Source organism: Homo sapiens, chromosome 1 (genome assembly GCF_000001405.40).
Source record: "Homo sapiens chromosome 1, GRCh38.p14 Primary Assembly".
Classification (NCBI taxonomy): domain Eukaryota; kingdom Metazoa; phylum Chordata; class Mammalia; order Primates; family Hominidae; genus Homo; species Homo sapiens.
This window is the reverse complement of record NC_000001.11, coordinates 84574448-84595964: the sequence shown is the minus strand read 5'-3', so window position 1 is coordinate 84595964 and position 21517 is coordinate 84574448. Positions and strand designations below refer to the sequence as shown.

The 21517-nt window shown below is 40.8% G+C and overlaps 1 long non-coding RNA gene across 1 annotated transcript, besides 2 other annotated features; it reads right to left on the bottom strand.

Moving 5' to 3' along the window:
- Positions 1-12346: 12346 nt before the first annotated feature.
- Positions 12347-17949, bottom strand: LOC105378819 (uncharacterized). Its single transcript, XR_947544.4, has 2 exons — positions 17830-17949; positions 12347-13025 (listed from the first exon to the last, which is right to left on the bottom strand). It is a non-coding gene; the product is annotated as an uncharacterized LOC105378819 (long non-coding RNA).
- Positions 17420-17619: a silencer, noted in NCBI's record as "fragment chr1:85044029-85044228 (GRCh37/hg19 assembly coordinates)". NCBI's record gives its function as "represses an EF-1alpha promoter that drives an FKBP-Casp9 reporter gene in an ReSE screen in phorbol 12-myristate 13-acetate-treated (for megakaryocytic differentiation) K562 erythroleukemia cells {active_cell/tissue: K562(+PMA)}" and the evidence as "EXISTENCE:reporter gene assay evidence [ECO:0000049][PMID:32094911]".
- Positions 21393-21512: a silencer, noted in NCBI's record as "silent region_1021". NCBI's record gives its function as "represses an Ori minimal core promoter by ATAC-STARR-seq in GM12878 lymphoblastoid cells {active_cell/tissue: GM12878}" and the evidence as "EXISTENCE:reporter gene assay evidence [ECO:0000049][PMID:35858748]".

The window sequence follows — 21517 nt, the reverse complement described above, 5'->3', positions numbered from 1 at the left end:
TCAAGTAGAAAAATTGGATTCTAATATTCCCTATCATGTCTCTATTATTTTTAAATATTAAATATAATTTTATATGGAAAATTATGTTTCACATAACACAAGTTCGTGGCCATGGAGGCTGCTGTTGAGGTGGCAGCTGCTGCTGCTGTGTCAGAGCTCGAGGTGTCACTGACCTGCTGCCGCTTTTGCTACTGTCTTTGCTTTTGAAACCTTTCATTTTTTGAATCCTAAAAAACCAAAATATTTTTCAAGAATATAATAGGACACAAAATCTTTTCACAGAATTTACAGAAGTGCCACTAACAGTCTGGAAATGTTTCTCTGACACAGTTTGTGTGTATGAGTGTGGGTGTTTTATTTTTAAAGCTTTGAGAGTATAATCTGTTATTTTGAAGGAAGACGCACTCCTCAAAAATAATTGGGGTTTACTTGATGTAAGATCAAATCTTTAGGAAAGGTTTTTTGTTGCCTTTTTTTTAAACTTTAAGTTCAGGGCTACATGTGCAGGATGTGCAGGTTTATTACATAGGTAAACGTGTGCCATGGCGGTTTGCTGCACACATCATCCCATCACCTAGGTATCAAGCCGAGCATTCATTAACTATTCTTTCTGATATTCTCCCTTTTATCTTCTCCACCCTCCGACAGGCCCCAGTGTGTGTTGTTTCCCACAATGTGTCCTTGTGTTCTCATCATTCAGCTCTTACTTATAAGTGAGAACATGTGGTATTTGGCTTTCTGTCCCCGCATTAGTTTGCTGAGGATAATGGTTTTCAGCTCTATCCAAGTCCCTGCAAAGGACATAATCTCATTTTTTATGGCTGCATAGTATTCCATTGTGTATATGTACCATATTTTCTTTATCTAGTCTATCATTGATGGGCATTTAGGTTGATTCCATTTCTTTGCTGTTGTGAATACTGCTGCAATTAACATATGCATGCATGTGTCTTTATAATAGAATGATTTATATTCCTTTGGGTATATACCCAGTAATGGGATTGCTGGGTCAAATGGTATTTCTGCCTCTAGGTCTCTGAAGAATTGCCACACTGTCTTCCACAATGGTTGAACTAATTTACACTCCCACCAACAGTGTAAAAGCGTTCCTTTTTTTTCCACAACCTTGCCAGCATCTGTTGTTTTTTGACTTTTTAATAATAGCCATTCTGACTGGTATCTCATTGTGGTTTGGATTTGCATTTCCCCAATGATCAGTGATGTTGAGCTTCTTTTCATATGTTTGTTGGGCACATATATGTCTTCTTTTGAGAAGCATCTGTTCATGTCCTTTGCCCACTTTTTAATTTTTTTGTTGTTGTTGTTAATTTATTTAAGTTCCTTGTATACCTTTGTCAGATGGATAAATTGCAAAAATTTTCTCCCATTCTGTAGGTTGTCTGTTCACTCTGATGATAGTTTCTTTTGCTGTGCAGAAGCTCTTTAGTTTAACTGGATCTCGTTTGTTGATTTTTGCTTTTGTTGCAATTGCTTGTGGAGTCTTCATGATGAAATCTTTGCCCATGCCTATGTCCTGAATGGTATTGCCTAGATTTTGTTCTAGGGTTGTTCTAAGGTTTTTATAGTTTGGAGTTTTACATTTAAGTCTTTAATCCATCTTGAGTTGATTTTTGTGTATGGTGTAAAGAAGAGGTCCAGTTTCAATTTTCTGCATATGGCTACCCCGTTCTTCCAGCACCATTTATTAAATAGGGAATCCTTTCCCCATTGCTTGTTTTTGTCAAGTTTGTTGAAAATTAGATGGCTATAGGTGTGTAACCTTATTTCTGGATTCTTTATTCTGTTCCACTGGTCTATATGTCTGTTCTTGTACCAGTGCCATGTTGTTTTGGCTACTGTAGCCTTGGTAGTATAGTTTGAAGTTGGGTACTATGATGCCTCCAGCTGTGTTCTTTTTGCTTAGGATTGTCTTGGCTATTCGGGCTTTTTTTTGGTTCCATATAAATTTTTAAATAGTTGTTTCTAATTCTGTGAAGAATGTCAATGGTAGTTTTATTAAAGCATTGAATATATAAATTGCTTTGGGCAGTATATGGGCATTTTCACAATATTGATTTTTCCTATCCATGAGCATGGTATGTTTTTCCATTTGTTTGTATCATCTCTGATTTCTTTGAGCAGTGGTTTGTAGTTCTCCTTGAAGGGGTCCTTTACTTCCCTTGTTAGCTGTATTCCTAGGTATTTTATTCTTTTTGTGGCAATTGTGAATGGGAGTTCATTCATGATTTGGTTCTCCACTTGCCTGTTGTTTGCATACAGGAATGCTAGCAATTTTTGCACATTGATTTTGCATCCTGAGACTTTGCTGAAGTTGCTTATCAGCTTAAGAAGTTTTGGGGCTGAGAAAATGGGGATTTCTAGATATAGGATCATTTCATTTGTAAACAAAGATAGTTTGGCTTCCTCTCTCCTTATTTGAATAGCCTTTCTTTCTTTCTTTCTCTTGCCTGATTGCCCTGGCCAGAATTTCCAGTACTATGTTGAATAAGAGTGGTGAGAGAGGTCATCCTTGTCTTGTGTCAGTTTTCAAGGAGAATACTTCTAGCTTTTGCCCATTCAGTATGATATTGGCTGTGGGTTTCTCATATATAGCTCTTATTATTTTGAGGTATGTTTTTTTAATACTGAGTTCATTGAGAGTTGTTAACATGAAGGGATGTTGAATTTTATCAAGTCCTTTTCTGCATCTATTGAGATAATCATGTGGGTTTTGTCTTTAGGTCTATTCATGTGATAAATCACATTTATTGATTTGCATATGTTGAACCAACCTTGCATCCTGAGGATGAAAGCTCCTTAATTATGGTGGATAAGCTTTTTTTTTTTTTTTTTTTTTAAGACCGGGTCTCATTCTATCACCCAGGCTGGAGTGCAGTGGCGCAATCTTGGCTCACTGTAACCTCTGCCTCCTGGGTTCAAATGATTATCCTGTCTCAGCCTCTTGAGTAGCTGGGATTACAGGAGTGTGCCACCACTGAGACAGTGTCTCACTCTGTCCCGCAGGCTGGAGTGCAGTGGCACAATCTAGGCTCACTGCTACCTCTGCCTTTCAGAAGCAAGTGATTCTCATGCCTCACCTTCTGATTAGCTGGGACTACAGGCACATGCCACCACACCCAGCTATTGTTTTTTTTTTTTTTTTTTTTTTGTATTTTTAGTAGAGACAGGGTTTTGCTGTATTGGCCTGACTGGTCTTGAACTCCTGGCCTCAAATGATCCACCCGATTTGGCTTCCCAAAATGCTAGGATTACAGATATGAGCCACCACACCCGGCCTGCTTAAGCTTTTTGATGCGCTGCTGGATTTGATTTGTCAGTATTTTGTTGAAGACTATTGCATTGATGTTCATCAAGGTTATTAGCCTGAAGTTTTCTTTTTTGTTGTATCTCTGCCAGGTTTTGGTATCAGGATGATGCTGGCCTCATAGAATAAGTTAGGGAGGAGTTCCTTGTTTGCTATTTTTTTGGAATAGTTTCAGTAGAAATGGCACCAGCTCTTCTTTGTACCTCTGGTAGAATTCAGGTATAAATCCGTCTGGTCCTGGGCTTTTTTGGGGGCTGATAGGCTATTTATTACTGCCTCAATTTCAGAACTCATTATTGGTCTATCTGGGGATTTGATTTCTTCATGATTCAGTCTCGGGAGGGTGTATGTCTCCAGCAATTTATTCATTTCTTCTAGATTTTCTAGTTTATGTGCATAGAAGTGTTTATAAAAACAACTCTGATGGCTGTATTTTTGTAGGGCCAGTGGTGATATCTCCTTTATCATTTCTGATTGTGTTGACTTGAATCTCCTGCCTTTTCTTATTTACTAGTCTAGCTAGTGGTCTATGTATTTCATTTTTTTTTTTCAAAAACTAATGGATTCATGTATTTTTTGAAGGGTTTTTCATGTCTCTATCTCCTTCAGTTCACCTCTAATCTTTGTTATTTCTTGTCTTCTGCTAGCTTTGGGGTTTGTTTGCTCTTGGTTTTCTTGTTCTTTTAGTTGTGATGTTAGGTTGTTAACTTAAAATCTGTCTAGCATTTTTTTGAGACAGTCTTGCTCTGTTGCTTAGGCTGGAGTGCAGTGGCACAATCTCAGCTAACTGCAACCTCTGCCTCCTGGGTTCAAGCTTATCTCCTGCCTCAGCCTCCCGAGTAGCTGGGACTACAGGTGCCTGCCACCATGCCTGGCTAATTTTTGTATTTTTAGTAGAGACAGGGTTTCACCATAATGGCCAGGCTGGTCTCGAACTCCTGACCTTGTGATCTGCCTGCCTCGGCCTCCCAAAGTGCTGGGATTACAGGCGTGAGCCACCAAGCCTGGCCGAAATCTGTCTAGCTTTTTGATATGGGCATTTAGTGCAATAAATTTCCCTCTTTACCCTGCTTTAGCTGTGTCCCACACATTCTGCTATGTTGTATCTTTGTTCTCATTAGTTTCAAAGAATGTCTTGATTTCTGCCTTAATTTCATTATTTACCCAAGAGTCATTCAGAAGCAGGTTGTTCAGTTTCCATAAGTTCTCATTTGATTGTGAGAACTCAGTCTCTCAGACCAGAGAGACTGTTATGATTTCAGTTGTTTTGCATTTGCTGAGGAGTGTTTTACTTCTGATTATGTGATCAGTTTTAGAGTAAGTGCTGTGTGGCAATGAGAAGAATGTATATTCTGTTGTCTCTGGGTGGAGAGTGCTATAGATATATACCAGGTCCACTTGATCCAGAGCTGGGTTCAAGTCCTGAATGTCTTTGTTAATTTTCTGTCTCAATGGTCTGTCTAATATTTTCAGTAGGGTGTTAAAGTTTCCCACTATTATTGTGTGGGAATCCAAGTCTCTTTGAAGGTCTCTAAGAACCTGCTTTATGAATCTGGGTGCTCCTGTATTGGGTGCATATATATTTAGGATAATTAGCTCTTCTTGTTACATTGAACTCTTTGCCATTATATGATGCTCTTGTCTTTTTTTATCTTTGTTGGTTTAAAATCTCTTTGTCAGAAACTAGGACTGCAACCCCTGCTTCTTCTGTTTTCCATTTGTGTGGTAAATTTTCCTCCAACTATTTTGAGCCTATATGTGTCTTTGCATGTGAGATAGGTCTCTTGAGGGTAGCATACCAATGGGTCTTGGTTCTTTATCCAACTTGCCACTCTCTTTTAATTGAGGGCATTTAGCCCATTTACACTTAAGATTAGTATTGCTATGTGTGGATTTGATTCTATCATCATGATGCTAGCTATTTGGCAGACTTGTTTATGTGGTTGCTTCATAGTATCACTGGTCTGTGTACTTCAGTGTGTTTTTGTAGTGGCTGTAATAGTTTTTCCTTTCCATATTTACTGCTTTCTTCAGGAGCTCTTGCAAGGCAGGCCTGGTGGTAACAAATTCCCTCAGCATTCTCCTTTGCTTATGAAGCTTAGTTTGGCCAGATATGAAATTCTGGGTTGGAAATTCTTTTCTTTAAAAATGTTGGATATTCTCTCCCTACCTCTTCTGGCTTGTAGAGTTTCTGCCGAGAGATCCACTGTTAGTCTGATGGGGTTCCCTTTGTAGGTGACCTGGTCTTTCCCTCTGGCTACCCTTAAACATTTTTTTCTTTCATTTTGACCTTGGAGAGTCTGGTAATTATGTGTGTTGGGGATGATCTTCTTGTGGAATATCTTACTGGGGTTCTCTGAATTTCCTGAATTTGAATGTTGGCCTGTCTTGGTAGGTTGAGGAAGTTCTCCTGGATAATATCCTTAAGTATTCCAATTTGGTTATTCTCCCCATGTCTTTCAGGTACCCCAATCAATCATAGATTCAGTCTCTTTACATAATATCATATTTCTCAAAGGTTTTGTTCATTCCTTTTCATTCTTTTTTTGCTATTATTGTCTGCCTGTCTTATTTCGGAAAGATAGGCTTCAAGCTGTGAGATTCTTTCACCTGCTTAGTCTATTCTGCTATGAATACATTAGATTGCATTGTGAAGTTGGTGTCTTTTTCAGCTCTAAGAGTTCAGCTATATTCCTCTCTAAACTGGCTATTTTGGCTCTCAGCTCATGTATTATCATGATTCTTACCTTCTTTGCATTGGGTTACAACATGCCTCTTTAGCTCAGTGAAGTTTGTTGTTACCCGCCTTCTGAAGCTTACTTCTGTCATTTCATTCATCTCAGCCTCAGCCTAGTTCTGAGCCCTTGCTGGAGAGGTGTTGTGGTCATTTGGAGGAAAAGGGGCACTCTGGCTTTTTGAGTTTTCAGTATTTTTGCATCGATTCTTTCTCAACTTTGTGGGCTTATCTACCTTCAGTCTTTGAGATTGATGACCTTTGGATGAGGTTTTTGTGGGGTTTTGTTGTTGTTGTTTTCTGTTTATCTTTTAACAGTCTGGCCACTTCTGTAGGTCTGCTGTGGTTTGCTGAGGGTCCACTCCAGACCCTAGCTGCCTGGGTTTTTCCAGTATAATGATCACATGAAGGACTCTGAAGGCAGGTAGACTCCTTTTGGAAAGCAGAGGAACTGAGCAAAACCCAGTATTGGAACCATATACAGCATGATTTGCATCATTTGGCCCAGGTTTATTTGATAAAGTCCAGTTGTTCATCCTTGCAAGGTAAGTACCTTACCATATGGTGGTTATTCACAGATTTAAGAGGATGGGAAATAGGGCCCATTTAAATTATATATCTAATTAATGAGAACCAAATAACAAAAAATCTCTTTGGTATGGATGAAAAAATGACATTTTTAATTATTAATAATATTGTTTGTGATCATTATTATATCATTAATAGCAACAGATATTAAGGGAAATGTCACTCTTGTTCCTTGAGTTGCCAATATCTCAAATGCCTACTTTTATGCTAAGAGAGCAAGTTAACTTTCCTGAGCAACGTTCTTTTGGTGAATATAGCGGGGTCCTTCACCAGTTTATCACTGAATTTATACAACACATTTCATGCGCTGACAAGATTTCTCCTGAGTAGTTGAGGGAAGAATGTGTGCCACTAGTTTACAGGAAACAGATACATCTGTGGACTCCCTGTAGTGAAATGGGTGTATAAGTTGTCTTAGATTTTGCAGTCTATAAAAATCCCACTTGAGACTTAGGTGCAATGTCAGGTAGGGGCACAGCGGGCAAGATTGCAATGACTACTGCCCTGGACCTGACCTTGCATTACCTTGACTTCCTCAGTTACCCCAAGTTGTGAGCCTCAGAAGGACTGACTTATGCAAACTGAATCCAGAAATGAATGCATAATCTAGAACACCAATTTCTTTCTATCTTTCCTCTTTTCAATAACCAGTGAGGTAAGGTAATTTTCCTAGGGCCATATAGCTGTTAAAGACTTGACCTGGAGTATAATTCAAGTATTTTGATTCTGTCCGAAATTAAAGGTACTGAAAGTGCAGTACCAATACCAATGGAATTGTAGGATGATAAAGATCAATACACTAAGAACCAGAAATGTTATTTGCAGACATGTTATCTCTCTGTAAAATTAAGTCTGATTAATTGACCTAACCCCTGCCTTATGAGGATATATGTTTCTGGCTGCAGAAACATGTGGAGCACATTGAAGCCTGGCAGTTCTTTTAGGCCATCATTATACTATTGTGCACATTACTGAAATGCAGTTCTTAATTGCCACTACCATGACTGTCCTCACCACAGTTGGCATCACCATCAACTTCACTATCATCATAGTCTATATGGCAATTAAAGCAAAATTCTAATATTTTAAAATCAACCAGAATACAGGACAGTCCTGTTCCTGACTCCCCAGAGTCTTGAGCCCTGTGGAAGAAACTGACATTCCAAGGTGGCTGGTGCATGGATACTCTTATGGGTTGAATCGTGTGTCCCCTGTCCCCCTCCAAATTCATATCTTGAAGTCCTAACCTGTAGTACCTGAGAACATCACCTTATTTGGAGATATGGTATTTTTTTTTTTTCTTTGAGATGGAGTCTTGCTCTTGTTGCCCAGGCTGGAGTGCAATGGTACAATCTTGGCTCACTGCAACCTCCACCTCTCAGGTTCAAGCAATTCTCCTGACTCAGCCTCCTGAGTAGCTGGGATTACAGACACGTGCCACCACGCCCAGCTAATTTTTGTATTTTTAGTAGAGACAGGATTTCACCACGTTGGCCAGGCTGGTCTTGAACTCCTGACCTCATGATCCGCCTGCCTTGGCCTCCCAAAGTGCTGGGATTACAGGCATCAGCCACTGTGCCCGGCTGGAGATATGCTCTTTATCAAATTAAAATGAAGTCATTAGGGTGGGTTCTATTCCAATGTGACTGGTATCCTTATAGAAGGAAAATTTGGAGACAGACACATATACAGGGAAGATACCAACTGAACATGAAGATGACCGCCTACAAGCCAAAGAGAAGAGGCATGGAATGGATCCTTCTCTCATAGCCCTCAGAAGGAACCAACTCTGCCAGCACCTTGATTTTGGATTTCTGGCCTCCAAAACTGTGAGACAATACATTTCTGTTTTATAAGACACCAAGTTTGTAGTACTTTGTTGTGGCAGTCCTAGTAAACTAATATAGACACCAAATGAAATATTGTGACTGTCCTCCCAGTGTGTGAACTGTGGCAAAAAGTCATAAAGATGAGCTACATATAGCCTGTCAAGAGGATTCCAGTGGCTTCTCACTTCAGCCAATCCTGGCATACCAGCAAGAAGGCCTGGCCGCCAGGGCAGTCTCAGTCTGTGTTAGTTTCCATTATTTGGCAGCTGCTAAGTGGATACATTTTCAGTGGTCATCCATGCCAACAAAAGCCATTTCGAAGTGTTATGTTTACAGGTTGTCAGCTTGTTTTCTAAACTTCCCTAATTGGAGTACACAAAGACACATCGTCTCTGAGTCTTTGCATTCAGGATGGACTCGTTGAAATAAGACATAATTTCAAGGGATGAATGTACAGTCATTTCTTAAACAAGTTTGCTGCATGGGTAAAAGGTAAATTGAAAGAGATCTGGTTGAACAATACTTCTTGTCAACTTGACATAGCAAGGGGCTTCATTGATTATGAATTTATAATGAGCCAACAGGAGTATGGCTGCCCAGAAAGCTAAGAAATCATTAATGCCCAGAAAGCATTAAAGCATGTCAGCTAATACGAGGCAGCAATTCTGCTGTATGCTGCATGGACCAGATCATGCCTGACCTGCACTGTACAGATTATCTTTGCACCAGATCCTCTGAGCTCATCTAAAAGGGATGTGGGTGGGATGGTTGAGGATGGGATGGTGAAAAGGAAATTATGTTATATCAGCGACAACAGATGGAAATTGATTTATGTAGCCTAGGGAAGGAAAGATTTGGGAAGCAAAGGAGGAGGCAATATTGGCTGTTTATCATCAAATACAGAAAGAGTACCATGTGGAAAGAGGATCATAGTTGTTCTCAGGGTCCCCAAGAGGTTGAGTCAAGACCAATTCGAGTTACTGTAGACAATTTCCAGCTCAAGGTAAAAAAGCTATTGTGTAATTATTAGTTCCCTTAAAATAGGCTTGACTGCTTAGTGACATGGTGAGCTTGTTATACTGGAAGACCCAAGCAAAGGCTGAAAAGCACTTTTTATAGGGAGGGAAAGATGGATGTAAGGTGAGACTTTGAGAGCTGCTATTCAAAGGTGTGGTGAGGACAGCCCATGGAGATTCTGGAAGCCATCCTGGCTCATGCTGCTGACAGAGTGTTAGGTTGTGTCAGAGTGGTGACATTAATGCACAGAAAGCATTAAGGCATGTTAGCTCAGGGGAAGCAGTAATTACCAGAGTCACCCTAATGGTAACCGTTTTCTCCATCTTAGTAAAACAGACTGTAGGCATAGGCATGTTATCTAACATAAATTACCACTGATAGATGCAGGAGGCAGCTAAGGAAGGGTACCTGGAGAATCTCCAACCCACCTCACAAGTGTTTATGTCAGATGCTTTTGTGCAGATGAGGGAATCTGCCCAGGGCCTTGTCTGGGCATGCCCACAATGGACTGGGGGCCCACCTGTGCACTGGAAGAGTGGGGTGGAGCTCCCAGGAATGTGTGCCTTGTGCAGTGGAGAGGAGCCTGGACTCTTCAGCTCATGTGTGGTGGTCTGGTGGTCTGGTGGTCTGGTATTCAATCTGTGAGGTGGAAGCCTGTTTGCAGGATGCCCTCTTTTTTGTTCAGAGCTTTCTTTCCTTTTTTTTTTTTTTTTTTTTTTTCAGATGGAGTCTCACTCTGTCACTCAGGCTGGAGTGCAGTGGCGCAGTCTTGGCTCATTGCAACCTCTGCCTCCTGGGTTCAAGTGATTCTCCTGCCTCAGCCTCCTGAGTAGCTGGGATTACAGGTGTGTGCCACCATGCCTAATTTTTGTATTTTTAGTAGAGACGGGGTTTCAACATGTTGGTCAGGCTAGTTTCGAATTCCTGACCTCAAGTGATCTGCCTACCTCAGCTTTCCAAAGTACTGGGATTATAGGCGTGGGCCAATGCACCTGGCCGCTGACAGCTTTCTTTTAATAAATTCTGCTCTCTCACCTTTTAACGTGTCCACTACCTAATTTTTCCTGGTCATGGGACAAGAACCCAGGTTTTAGCTAAGCTAAGGAGCAAAGATCCTGCATCACCATCTACCAAGAGCTACTGTGGTTACTGAAAATGGCCCTGGGATGCTGTGCACCTCCATCTAAGCTGACAAGTTACTTGCTCAAAGGCAGGGAGGATTGGGGCTCCCAGGCACCTCAGCAGCTTAAGCCTTGCTCTTGTAGCTAGCAAATTGAGACTGCATGCCACAGCTGTTAAGATCATGGACTTTGGCTGGGTGTGGTGGCTCACACCTGTAATCCCAGCACTGTGGGAGGCCAAGGTGGGTGGATCACTCAAGGTCAGGAGTTCGAGACCAGCCTGGCCAACATAGTGAAACCCTGTCTCTATGAAAAATACAAAAATTACCCGGGTGTGGCGGAGGGTGCCTGTAATCCCAGCTACTCAGGAGGCTGAGGTAGGAGAATCACTTGAACTGGGGAGGTGGAGGTTGCAGTGAGCCGAGATTGCACCACTGCACTCCAGCCTGGGTGACAAGAATGAAACTCCATCTCAAAAAAACAAAAAACCAAAAAAACCCCCAAAAAACAAAAAACAAATTCATGGACTTTGGAGCTACATTGCCACAGTTCAAATCCTAGCTCTAACCTTACTACCCATATGAAATCTTCTTTTATTTAAGCTCTGGTGCCTGTTCGTTTGTAAACCAGAAATGATAATAATGGAAACTGCCTCATAGGTTGTTTTGAGAATGAAATCAGTAAAAGGATGTTACATACTTGGAACAGAGTCCACTGCTCTACATTTTACATTGTACTTTTAATCTGTCTGCCCCCAGCTGACACCTGCATTAGAATACTTACACCACCCAGCCTCTAAAAACATTTCAATATGTGGGAATTCCACCTAGATTCAAACCTGAGGTGTCATCCCAGCAGTCTATAATCAATCTTTGAAACAGAAATCAGATTTTGGATGGAAAACCACTGAAATATTCTGTTCTAATTAAACTGAGGCAAGCTTCCTGCTAAGTTCTATAGCAGGGGTTCTCAGAGTGTGGTCCCTAGATTAGCTGCATCAGCATTGCCTGGAAACCTTTTAGAAATGCAAATTTTTCTGGCCTCACTCTGGTCCTACTGTATCAGAGACTGTAAGGGTGGGCCCCGTCATCTGGGTTTGGCAAGCCCTTCAGGAAATTCTAATGCATGCTCAGGTTTGAGAGTATTCTTCATTCAGAACATCTGGGGTGAAGACCAAGATGTGCATCTAACTGGCACGTAGGTGACACTGATGCTTCAGGTCAGGGACTACATTTTAAGAACGACTGCTGTATAGGCTCTGAGCCTCTTTTGGGGGAGCTAAGACTGACACATATAAAAGAATTTAGAGGTCAGTTAAGTCTCTGAAGTTGTAGGGAGGCGCCTGAGTGCAGCATGAGAAACGATAAAGCACAGAAGACTGAAACTAGAGTGAAGCCAAGAGGCTGAAGGGGGAGGGAGCCTCGCAGCTTGAGACACAAAGGAGGCCAAGTGCTGACCACCCCGCTGCAGAGAAGGGCCTGCAGCGCGGAAATACAGACTTGTCCACATTAGGCCAGATCACAGAGAAATGGTAAAAGTCCGGCAGAGGAATTCGGACTTCACTCAGGAGTTCCTGCTGGTTCTGAAGCAGGAAAATGAGAAGTGGCCTCAGGGAATTAGAAAGGTCAGTCTGGGTAAATTTAAGAAGAAAGTGAAGAGGCTACGTTGTGTGGGGTGAATACCCATGGTTCATTGTCTCGCACCAAGAAAATTTAGGATAGGGACACACATGAGGAGTTTAGGAGTGGAAGTTTAATATGCAAAAGAAAAAGAAAGGAGAAAGGAAACCAGCTCTCTCTAGGGAGAGAGAGGGGCTTCCCAGAGGAAAGACTGGCTGGCAGTGGACTCACAGGATTTTATAGTCAGGCTTGAGAAGGCATTGTCTGATTTACATAGGGCTCACAGATTGGTTCAGTCAGGCGTGATGTTTACATAGTGCAGGGGAAGGCTGGTGGGCCCCACCCTAATCTTATTATGCAAATCAACTTTACCCTTGGCCCGAGCCATGTTGTCTGCTCCTTACTGTACATATGGCTGGCAGAGAAGGGAGAAGGGAGCCACCATTCTGAACATGATTGGCACAACTGCCGGCATCTATGTCTGCAGCTTGATTTTACAGGCTGCTGTTTGTTAGAAAGGAAAATGATTTGGGGCTGCTTTTCATTAAAAGGAAAACCTTACCGAGGACTTCCATACCCTCACTATCTGCCTAAGTAATTTCTTCTTAACTCCTCTATCAAAAGTGACTGGAGAAAAGGCTGCAGTCAGGAAAGCTTGGAGGCAGCAAGCAGGATGCGGCTTAAGAGGCTGTGCAGGCCTTGAAGTCAGCCAGACGGCAGGGTGGAGGCCCAGCTTCACCATTGCGGTCACTTGCTTCTTGGGCAGTCATCCTGTGTGCTTAGCTTGATTATCTGTAAAACAGGGTTGAGAATCATCCCTGCCTTACATGGCCATTACTACCAACTAAGAAGGATTTGAATTAGCATCATAGCAGGTAATGGAGAGGAAAAAGTTAAACAAAACAAAACCCAAAATTCTCTCTAGGCACTGAGCTTAAGAATATGAAAGAATGGTGATACCAACAACCACAAAGAAGACTCCAGAATGAGGAAAATAAATCCAGTTTTCTCTCAGAAACTGTATTTCAAACTACACTTTTCAAATCTACCAAAAGTAGAAATATATTAATTCATTCTTGTTTCTAGTTAGCTTAAGTATTATCTTCTCCTAAGAGAGCTAAAGTGAAATCTTTGTTTTGATAATTGGTTCTGGGAAGAGAATTTACATCTTTTAAATTTTTATTGGTGTTTGGGGGGTGTTAAAATAAATGTAAACTCATGTTGTAATTAGTATTTTAATTGTTATTATTTTCTGGGGTCTGTGGTGTTTAATTTCCTTTATAGCCATAAAGAGAATGTTTATTCCTACTGATGTTTAAAGAAGAGCATCCCCAAAGACACAAAGTCACTTTCAAAATGTTCTTTTCTTCTAGGATCCACTGGTGTTGATGAATGGAGTAATCCACAAGCCGGAGGATCTGGTGGAAACATCGGTGCTCACACATCACATTCCGGTAGGAAAACGCAATGCTCCACGTGAATTTGTAATCCATGAGTTTGGACCTCTGAGCTAACTTTATTTAAATTTATTTTGTCTTTAATTTATTTTGTTTTTTACTGGGAAATCACAAAACATATTTAACTGGATATTTGGTAATGTGAAAATAATGTCGTCCCATCAATTTTAAGGTTTTCTAACATCCCATTTTGAGATTTGGAAAAGAATGACCTTAAATGTGCCAAACCCAATAAATTTTGAATTTCAAAAATCTTTAAATTTTACAAAAAGTAAAAACTTATTAAGCACTTATTGTGTGCCAAGCACTGTGTTGAGTCTGGGGGATACTAAGCAAGTGGTTATAAATCACCGTCTCGGTTCTTGCAGGCTCCTGGGATGAGGAGACAGCTGATAGGTGAAAAGGCCACCTGGCTTTCCTCACTCCCTGAGCCTCTATCTACCCCAGCAGCTGGGCTTCCTTAAATCTCATGCGTTATGCTCAGTTCTGTCCTAGGCAGTGGAAGAAATCCTTCCTAGGCAAGGTGCATAAGAAGGTCTTGATGTCATGAACACTTAGGCATAGGATTCAGCCAGTGTTGCTCCTCCATTATCAGCCAGTGTGGCTCCTCCATTATCAGGTCAGCATTGCCACTTTTTTCACTCTGACCCACTTTGTTAGCATTCCTGATACTATTTTCCATTCCTTAAGCCATTATTTCTGAAATTAATTTTCTGAATTGTTCCTCAGGAGTTGGGCTTCCTGACCCCTGTAACCCACTGTCCCAGGGGACTGAATCTCTCACAGCTCCTGTCTGAGGTCCCAGTGCTTTTCATCCTCAAACTTTTCCTTGGTCAAATGCCACTAATTGGCCAGCTGCAGTGGCTCACATCTAGTGCTTTGGGAGGATGAGGATGGAGGATTGCTTGAGGCCAGGAGGAATTTGAGACCAGCCTGGGAAACATAGTGAGACCTCCATCTCTACAAAACAAAATAAAAATTCCACTAACTTTCTACCCGACTCCTACTGGGATGGTCATCTGAGATCTTGGTCCTATTTAGACTACATATAAAGGGCTTGATTCTTGCTTGTTTTTTCTTATCTTATAGTGCTCACTCTTAGACCACACTGACACCTCTACATCTGCACTCATGTCCCCATGTAGCAATTTCATTCAGCAGGAATGTTTTTACCCTCTTAGTGGCAGGTAGAGGGATAGGTGCTGGGGATAAAACTGCACCGGGATCATCTCTGCTCTCAAGCAGTGCACAGGCTAGTGGAGAAGACAGACAACATCATTGCTTTCTTTGATTATTCTTTCCTCCAACCCCCACATCTACCACATCAGCGAGTCTTCCCACCTGTTCCTACAGAAGATATCCTTTATCAGCCAACATATCCAGATGACAACTGCTGCCAGCCTGGTTTGAGCCACCTTGAAATCTCATGGGAACGCTGAGAAATAATCAAAATATTTAACAACTGCTAATGGCACAGCATGGTGCCAACCAACTGCATCCAGTCAGCAAATGTTGGCCATAAAGAATCCAGGCCACAGTACCAGTATTTGCCAGCTAAATATTAGCCCTGCACCTGCACTCCAATAGCTTATCTGGTCTCTTCCACAAGCCTCTCTGTAATCATCTTTCATACACCAGTCAGAATGATCTTTTAAAAATGTAAATCAGACTAAGCTACTTCCCTGCTTAAAACCTTCCAAAGGTTTTCTTCCCATTTCTCTCAGAAAAGAAAAATTAAAAAAAAAATTATAAATAAATGTTTAAAAATGTACTTAGGTCTTCTTTAACGTCTTTCAGTAAGTTTTAGGATTTTCTCCATAAACATTTGCACAGATAGACATGTCATATTTGTCCCTAAGTTCCACATATATTTAGCTATTATAAATAGTATCTTTTTAATATTAATTTTATTTCGGTTTGTAGTGCAATTGATTTAGGTTGACTTAATATATAGCGACCTTGCTAAACTCTTACATCTAGTAATTTATTAAGGATTCTTTTATCTTTTAGGTTTTCTATGTAGTTATTTTTATCTTTGGTGAATAATGACTATTTCTTTCTTTTCAATGTTTATGCCTTTTCTTTCTTTCACTTGTGTTCACTGGTAAGTACAATACTGATTAGAAGTGGTGATAATGAGCACCTTTACTTGTTCTTGATTTTAAGGGGAATGCTATTATGATATCCCCATTGAGTATGATGTTTACAAAATGATTTGGGTTCTTTTTCTATTGTTCCTTCTATTCTCAATTTACTAAGAATTTTTTTGGTGAACCAATACTGAATTTTATCTAATGCCTTTTCTGCATTTAAGGGATACCATGTTTCTATGTGGAGCACATACATTCATTCATTTCCATGAAGCAGAGCTGCTGGTTCGTAGAGGATGTGTATCTTAAAGTTCAGTAAATAATGCCAAACTATTTTTCAAAATGATTATTTTATACTCTACCATCAGCCATGTATAAAGTTTCTGTTGTTTCACATCCTTGTCAATAGCTGGTATTACCAGTCTTTTTAATTTTAGCCATTCCAATGAGTATGTAGTGGTATCTAATTGTGGTTTTAGTTCACATTTCCCTGGTTACCAAGATTAAGCATCTTTTCATATGTTTATTGAACATACAGATATCCTCTTTTGTAAAGTGTTCTGATTTCCTAGCCATTTTCCTCTAGATTACTTTTTTCTTTGAATTTATATGAGTTCTTTATATATTCTTCACACCAGTCCATTGTTGGTTATATATTTTACAAATAATACCTTGTTCCATACTGTGGCTTTTTACTCTCTTGTGTTTTTTGATAAACAGTTCTTAAATATTGAGTAGCCAAATGTATTGATTTTTTCCCTTTGTAGTTAATACTTTTCGGGCTTCATGTAAGGGTTTATTCTCTAGAGATCATGAAATATTCTCTATATTATTTTCTGATAACTTTGTTGTTTTGCCTTTTACATTTAAGTCTAGAAATCACCTAGAGTTGTTTGTATATGGTGTGAGGTAGAGGTCAAGTTTCAGGTTTTTTCCATATTAATATCCAGTTGTCACAACATTATCTTTTTTCTGCTGCTCTGCAGTGATTCCTTTGTCATTAATCAAGTGTATACACATGGATCTTTTGTGAGTTCTCAACTCTGTGCCATTGGTTCATTTGTTTATGCTTGCACCAATAGTGAGTGGAATTTATTACTTAATCTTTTTAAGTCTTGAGAATATGTAGAAGACTTCCCACCTTGTTCTTGAGCAATGTCACAACTATTTTTATATTTTCTTATATATTTTAGAATCAGCTTATCAAATTCCACCAAAACTAAACAGAAAAAAGAAAAATGAAACAAAACAACAATCCTCCTCCCCCAACAAATATTTCATGTTTTATTTGCTTACATCTTCTAACATTTCAATAATGTTTTATACTTTATTAAATATATACTTTTCTATGTAGAGGTCTTACATTCTTGCACATTATATTTATTCCTAAATTTTTTATATTTTATGTAGCTATTGTATATTTGTTATTTGCTCTATGGCATGCTACCATGAATCAATGGATCAACTAGATGGACGTACAGTGTTAGAATTGTGAATTTTTTTTTTTTTTTTTGACAGAGTCTCACTTTGTCACTCAGGCTGGAGTGCAGTGGCACGATCTGGGCTCACAGCAACCTCTGCCTCCCGGGTTCAAGCAATTCTCCTGCATCAGCCTCCCAAGCAGCTGGGATTACAGGCATGCACCACCACACCCAGCTAATTTTTGTATTTTTAGTAGAGACGGGGTTTCCCCATATTGGCCAGGCTGGTCACGAACTCCTGACCTTGTGATCCACCCGCCTCTGCCTCCCAAAGTGCTGGGATTACAGGTGTGAGCCACCACACCCGGCCCACGTGAATGGTTTTAATAAAACATTTAATTAGATATGGTTAAGTTGTCAAAAACAAACATTTCTCCTTGGCTTAAAAATGTTATAACACAGGGTTGGACGCAGTGGCTCATGCCTGTAATTCCAGAACATTGGAAGGCCAAGACAGAAGGACTCCTTGAGCACAGGAGTTCCAGACCAGCCTGAGCAACATAGCAAAACCTCACCTCTACTAAAATAAATAAATAAATACATAAAAGCCAGGCATGATGGCATGTACCTGTAGTCCTAGCTACTCAGGAGGCTGAGGTGCGAGGATTGCTGGACCCCAGGAGATGGAGGCTGCTGTGAGCTTGATCAAGTCACTGCACTCTAGCCTGGGTGACAGAGACCCTGTCTGGAAAAAAAAAGTGATAACACAAAACTTGCACATGAATGTTTATAGCAGCTTTATTCATAATTTTCAAAACTTGAAAGCAACCAAGATGTCCTTCAGTAGGTGAATGGATATTGACATCAGGGGTTTTTCTGGACAAATCATACACCCAGATCACCCTACAGTGAAATTCAAAAAAGTGATAACACAAAATCCATTCAGTAGGTGAATAGATACATCAGTGGTTTTCTGGACAAATCATACACCCAGATCACCCTACAGTGAAATTCAAAGTTAAAAGCACCAGCTATCTACTTGGAGCTTCCTCTCTTTGTACTTTTTAATTTTTACTTTTAATCATGGACAGCAACCAAGAAAATCCAATAATGTAGAAGGAAGGGACCCAAACAACAGACAAAGGAATATGGAGGAAGCAGATGCTGCAGGATTGGATTAACTGTAGTACGTCCCAACAATGAAGTATTATTCAGTGCTAAAAAGAAATGAGCAATCAAGCCATGAAGGGACATGGAGGAACCATAAATGCGTATTACTAAGTGAAGGAAGCCAATCTGAAAAGCTATATACTGTAAGATTCCAACTATGTGACATTCTGGAAAAGGCAAAACTATGGAGACAGTGTAAAAATCTGTGGATGCCAGTGGTTAGCAAGGAGAGAGGAATGAATAGGTAGAGCACAGATAATTTTGAGGGCAGTGAAACTATTCTGTATGATACTATAATGCTGGATACACATCATTATACATTTGTCAAAGCCCATAGAATGTACAGCACCAATATAAAATTCAATACAAATATGTAGGAATTCCTCATTTGGTTAGTATGCAGAAAAGAGTTACCGTAACAGGCCTAAGACTGCGATCTTTAGAAAGGCCTGCTTCCTGAAGGTTGGCCTGTAGGTGGATTTGGGAGTGTTCCTGCTGTTCCCTGAGTCTCTAATGAGCTTCCATGGCAGACAGCCCTTCACACATGTTACAACGTGATGCTTGTGCTTGGCCTCCTCCTGTCTTCTTCCTGTGCACTTTTTCCCTTTGCTCTTTTGCTTCATATTCTTCTGCTGTAATAAATCTTAACTGTGAGTACAACTGAGTCCTATGAGTTCTTTTAGTGCATCACTGAACCTGGAGGTGATCTTAGGGATCCCTAACACAGGTAGATATGTGTTTTCTTCTGTGTCACAGAATACAGTCTGATTCTATGAGTCAGAAGGCTCTTTTCCTTGAAAACTTGATTCAGTGCAACCATTCATGTTAAAAACATAGTTACATTTCAGTATCATGAGGGATTGGTTCCAGGACTCCCAGATACCAAAATCCATGGATGCTCAAGTCCCTTATATAAAATGGCATAATCTATGCACATCCTCCTGTACTTCAAATAATCTCTAGATTAATTATAATAATACGATGTAATGCTATGTTGACAGTGCTCTTGCCGTATTTTTATTTGCATTTTTAAATTGCTGTATTATTTGTTATTTTTAAATACTGTTATCTGACATTGGTTAAAACCATGGATGTGGAACCTCTGGTTATGGAGGTTCAATTGTACTTTTTTTTTTTTTGAGACAGGATCTTGTTTTGTCACCCAGGCTGGAGTGCAGTGGCATGATCATAGTTCACTTCAGCCTCAACCTCCCGGCTTCAAGCAATCCTCTCATCTCAGCCTCCCGAGCAGCTGGGACTACAAGCTTTTACCACCGCACTGGCACACAGGGCTAATTTTTTGCTTTTTATTTTTTGTAGAGACAGGGTCTATGTTCCCCAGGCTGGTCTCAAACTCCTGCCCTCAAGTAATCCTCCTGCCTTGGCCTGCCAAAGTTATGCAATTGCAGGTGTGAGCCACAGTGCCTGGCCTAGCTTTTCATTCTGAAAACGCGTGTTCTTCAGTCCTGGAGCCTTGATAATTACTTATTTCTTTTCTTTTCTTTTTTTTTTTTTTTTTTGGAGACAGAGTCTCACTCTGTTGCTGAGGCTGGAGTGCAGTGGTGTGATCTCTGCAACCTCCACCTCCCAGGTTCAAGCGATTCTCCTGCCTCAGCCTTCCGAGTAGCTGGGATTACAGGTGTCTGCCACCATGCCCAGATAATTTTTGTATTTTTAGTAGAGATGGGGTTTCACAATGTTGGCCAGGCTGGTCTCAAACTCCTGAGCTCAAGTGATCTGCCCACCTCGGCCTCCCACAGTGCCGGGATTACAAGCATGAACCACTGTGCCCAGCCCAAATTACTTATTTCTTCTTATTTGTACTACGCTGCTTCTCAAGCACCTTTAAGAATTATTTATTTCATCCCCTCTGTACTGCGTTTTCCAATTTTCTTATCTTTCAGAGTTTTTGCTCTACATTCCTCAGTGTTATCTTCTACTAATAGTTTTTTCACTTCTTTCTTATTTCTATTAACTTTTAAAAATCCCCTACCCCTTTTATTGCACCCTGTTGTGGCTTCATCTTCTCTTATTTTTCTGGGGCTATTATGAGAATTTTTAAAAGTGTTCTCCCTGCAGCATCTGCTTCCTCCATATTCCTTTGTCTGTTGTTTGGGTCCCTTCTTTCTACATTATTGGATTTTTTTGGTTGCTGTCCATGATTAAAAGTAAAAATTAAAAAGTACAAAGAGAGGAAGCTCCAAGTAGATAGCTGGTGCTTTTAACTTTGAATTTCACTGTAGGGTGATCTGGGTGTATGATTTGTCCAGAAAACCCGATGTCAGTATCTTTGCTCAGCCTCTTAGGTTAATCAGATAGCGAGGGGTTTCAGTTTTCAGTAGGCATAAAGCCACTTATTCTCCGTTTTAGGTGGAATACCCACTCAGCAGAGAATTTATCCCCTTCAGGGAATTCAGCCGGGGTGGGAGCCCGTGGTGGGAAAGAGGGGCAGCTGCCCAGAGACATGAAGCTGGAAAAAGGATCTAGCGATCAGAGTCCTTGAGCAGCCTTTGACTAATCTCCCCCTTTTCCGATTTACCTCTCATACTCATACTTGTGCTCTCCAGCTTCCAACATTTTGTTGCTGTTATCTCTTTGTCCTTGTGTTTAGGTTGTTAAACTTGATTTTTAACAGGAGAGTAGGCAAAATTAGATGCTTGAATTCAAACCACGATCTTAACTAAGACCTGATATCCGTAAGTAAAAATTTTTGGTATTCCAGCTTTCTTTTGAGTAGCAAAAGAAAAACAAAGTCTTTTGGCCACTCCAACCATGTTACTCAGTAGGCCCTTCCAAAGACACCCACTTCTCCATTTTGGGGATCCCCTTGTACCTTCAGACTCCACAAGGAGTACACGACCAGCCACGACAAAACGAGATGCAGACTATTGGGAGGACTATAAACGGTAGGGGTGATACCCATTTGAGTCCACGAACGGCCCTCTCGGCGCCGCAGACACTGGCTGTCCCCCGAGACGCTCCAGCAGCCACTTAACTTCACCCACCTGTAGCGCCCGGGGACGCTCGAAGCCCGACCTCCCACGCCCGCCCCGGAGCCCCGCCCCTCCCGCCCCTCCCCGCCCTTCCCGACTCTCCCCGCCCCTTCCTGCCCCGACGCGCAGCAGGCCCCGCCCACCCAGGCGGTA